This window comes from Homo sapiens, chromosome 1 (genome assembly GCF_000001405.40).
Source record: "Homo sapiens chromosome 1, GRCh38.p14 Primary Assembly".
NCBI lineage: Eukaryota > Metazoa > Chordata > Mammalia > Primates > Hominidae > Homo > Homo sapiens.
In genome coordinates this window covers 209,564,443-209,568,095 of record NC_000001.11, presented here as the reverse complement: position 1 = coordinate 209,568,095, position 3,653 = coordinate 209,564,443, and the positions used below count along the sequence as shown (strand labels likewise).

At 47.6% G+C, this 3,653-nt stretch overlaps 1 long non-coding RNA gene across 1 annotated transcript; it reads left to right on the top strand.

Moving 5' to 3' along the window:
- The first annotated feature begins 272 nt into the window (after window positions 1–272).
- Window positions 273–1,148, top strand: LOC105372899 (uncharacterized). Its single transcript, XR_922537.2, has 3 exons — window positions 273–377; window positions 463–560; window positions 1,109–1,148. It is a non-coding gene; the product is annotated as an uncharacterized LOC105372899 (long non-coding RNA).
- Window positions 1,149–3,653: the final 2,505 nt, after the last annotated feature.

The following is a 3,653-nucleotide window of genomic DNA, read 5'->3' as shown; positions in this document are numbered from 1 at the left end:
TTGGAGGAAACTTACAATGAATAGATGTTCCTACATAAAGAGTAATACATCAACTAGACATTTTGGAGGCATTCCTGGACTCGGGGTTAGTCATAAGTTACATGATGAATTACCATTTAAAATAAAGTCATTCTTGTCCCCACAAGTACAAGCATTCACCAACATCCAATCCACTTCTTCTAGAGACATGGAAGACTCCTGCCTGGAATGTGGGCAGGGCCATGTGAGTAGCTCTGGTCAGTGAAATGTGAGTGCATGTGGCTTATATCATCACTTCTGGGCTGAGACAGTTAAAAGCCCACACATGATTCTTCAGTTTCTTTTCCTGTGCCACAGCAACCAAGAAGGTCACATGTTCCAGAAGCTGCAGCTATAAGGTGGGTGGGGGGACCTAAGTGGGCCTGGGCTCTTGAGTGACTATGTGGAGCAGAGCTGCACTGACTCTTTCTTATCCATGGGTAGCACAAGCGAAAAATAAACTTCTGTGGTGCAAAGTCACTGAGATTCAGGAGTTGTTGCCAAAGCGGAGCCGAGCTCAGTGGTTCCCAGTCTGGTCCCAGGTAAGTATCGGGGGATGTTTAAGAGATGCAAACCCCCAGGCTTCACCCCACGCAAGCTGAATCAGAGGCTGAGGATGGGGCCAGAGTCTGGGTTTTAACAACTCCCTCAGGTAATTCTGATCTAGCTCAGGATTGAGAACCACAGCTGTAACTGATCTTGAATGAAACAGGTGCCAGAAGCCTGAGGTGAGATCTCGCTCTGTCAGCTTCCAGTTATACAGGGAGCTTGCCCCAGAGGCCACCAGTGTTTGGGATGATCCATTCTGCTTTACTTCTTTCCTTTGGTAGAGATATTTAAACACTAAACACCTGAGAATATTTAACTACAAATATACTGATGTGGTTTGGCTCTGTCCCCACCCAAATCTCATTGTGAATTGTAGCTCCCATGATTCCCATGTGTTGTGGGAGGGACCTGGTGGGAGATAATTGAATCATCGGGATAGTGTCCCCCATACTGTTCTCACGGTAGTGAATAAGTCTCAATAGAGCTGACGGTTTTATAAGGGGAAACCCCTTTTGCTTGACTCTCATTTTTTCTTTGTTAGCCACCACGTAAGATGTTCCTTTGCTCTTCCTTCATCTTCCACCATGATTGTGAGGCCTCCCCAGCCATGCTGAACTGTGAGTCAATTAAACCTCTTTCTTTTATAAATTCCCCAGTCTTGAGTATGTCTTTATCAGCAGCGTGAAAACGGACTAATACATATACTAAGGCCCAAGCTACTTACCTGAAGTTAAGAAATCACCTGGAAATAGGTTCAGTTGTAGCCTTAAGAAGGTGAATGCTTTCTAGATCTTCCCAGTTATGTCTGAAACCATCAGGTTCATTGCGCTCTTTCTCATTCTTTGCTTGACAGCCCCTCTCTGAAGCAGAAAAGAAAGAGTCTGATGATCCCTATTTCACAGAGGAGGAAAGTGAGGCTCCAGGCGGTCAAGTTATTTATCCACAGCCTGGAGACATAGCTTTGCCCTGCCTACAGCCCTAGTGCTGCACCTCACACAAGCAGTACTCAGTGAAAAGTTGTAGAAAAATGAAGATAAAAGACATTTGCTGGCCTCACACATTGCTTAATTGTCTGAGCTTGTCTGAGTCTCAGTCGGGTGCTCATTGCTGTGCCTGGGCGGGTGCCCCAGGAACTAAAGTTGAGGGTGGAGGCAAAGCTAAGGGTAGACACGGGAGGGACAAAGCAAAGGGCTGGGAAGGAACAATCTGATCCAGCCCTCTCTTAGCCCTTTGCAAGGCAGAGCCGTCCCAGAGAAGTGAGAGCCTGTAGTCAGCAGGGGGCAGTGTTGTTCTAACAAATACCTTAATAATGGCTGGTGAGAAGGCTGCCCGCGCATCTAAGCTTGGGCAATACTGATGGGATTGAATTGATCGAGGCCAGAGGATCTGGTCCCTTGGAAAAACAAAAACAGCGAAAAAGATGGGCACCTATATACCCACTATCTATATTGGGCATTTTCTGTGAAATTCTTTCAATTTTTCTGTCTGGAAAATGTTATAATAAAATTTTGGAAGTAAAAAGAGGATGGAGCCCTCCTAGGCTGCGCCTGTCTCAGCCCTGCTGCTGCGGTTGGTGCACCCATCTGGGTCCAGACCCATAGCCACTGGGGGCAGTGGCATGAGTCTTCACGGAGCGTCTTATTCTTGATACTCATCGTATTCTCCCTGCCCAGAGGTATGCTCTGCCAGCTCTCTTCTTTGCTTGCTCCTTTTTCTCCTCTGCTATTTCTCCTTCTTCCCGTCCCCCTCATACTCTCTCCTGTACCTCCATATCTGACTGTGAGTCAGGTGGATGGCTCATGAGTCAGCAGGGCCAGTACTGGGGATGTGAGGGGTTAGGTGTGAAAGACACAGCAGATCCCGTCCCTTCGGAGTTTATAGTCGTGGAAAGACAGACCCACAGAGGCAGAACTTAGAGAAAGAAGACAGGAAAGCACTGAAATCATGTTCTCTGGGCCATAGGATACATGCAGGTTTCAACCTCGATTCAACCTTGGCAAAGGCTCTCTAGTTGTTCAGGACTTCCCCATCATGAGCTTTCTGGAAGGCACCTCTTCCATGTCCAAACATGCTGCAGGGTTTCGCGAGATAGAGCCCATCCCTATACCCAAGAGACAAGCAGTGGATTTCTTGATTTGGCTGTGAGGGGGCAGCTCAGCTCAGCTCATCCAAGAGGTCTCACATAAGCCTTCTTGTGGTATTCTATAATCCATTCTTCCACCTACCTGAACCATTCCAAGGCTCTGTGACCCAAGGATGACCCAGATTTGAGTCCAGCCTCCTAGTACCACTCCATCCACAGGTGGAACTCAGCCAGGTTCTAAATCAGCCCGGCTCCATGACCCCAGATACTAGCTTAGCCTTCTGAGAAGGAAGCCATTTCCTGCTGCTCTGCTGCCAGGAGCCAGGATGCCCCATCCGGAACTGGGTGTGGGGAGATGAGAGGCACCATTAGCAGCCATGGCTACACTGGCATTAGGAGATTAATGAGGCTTTTTGAATAACAAATGTAGCTTCAGCCAACTGTTGGCAATTAGTTAGAGCAAAGCCATGCTGTGCTCTGACTCTGTCAGCTGGGACCTCCAAAGGAGCATTACAGCAGGAAGGACTAGACCGGGAGGGAAAGAGTTGAAATTCTACCTTCCACATTCCAGGCCGGCCCTGTAGGTGTACAGTGACCCTGGGCTAAGTCTTCTCGTAACCGTCTTTATCTGAGATCATGTTGAGAGACATGTAAAGCAATGAGGGGCCTTGAGAGATCATTTTGTCTACCAGCCTGCCTCCACTCAGGACCACACAGCAGTGCTTCTCGAGGTTTAATTTGTATATAGGTCTCCTTGGAACCTTGCTCCCAGGTGACTGCTGATGTTGCTGGTCCAGGAACTACTTTGAATAGCAAGACCCACGAGAGAGAGAGAGAGAGAGAGAGAGAGAGAGAGGACAGAGAGACAGAGAGAGGAGAGAGACAGAGATGTGGGCAGGGGAGCATGCTTTGGAGCCCAGAGCACATTTATTTCATTAAGTTGAGATTTTAGTCTTTATAATTCATTCATCATTTACTTCATCATTCATTCAACAGCATCTAC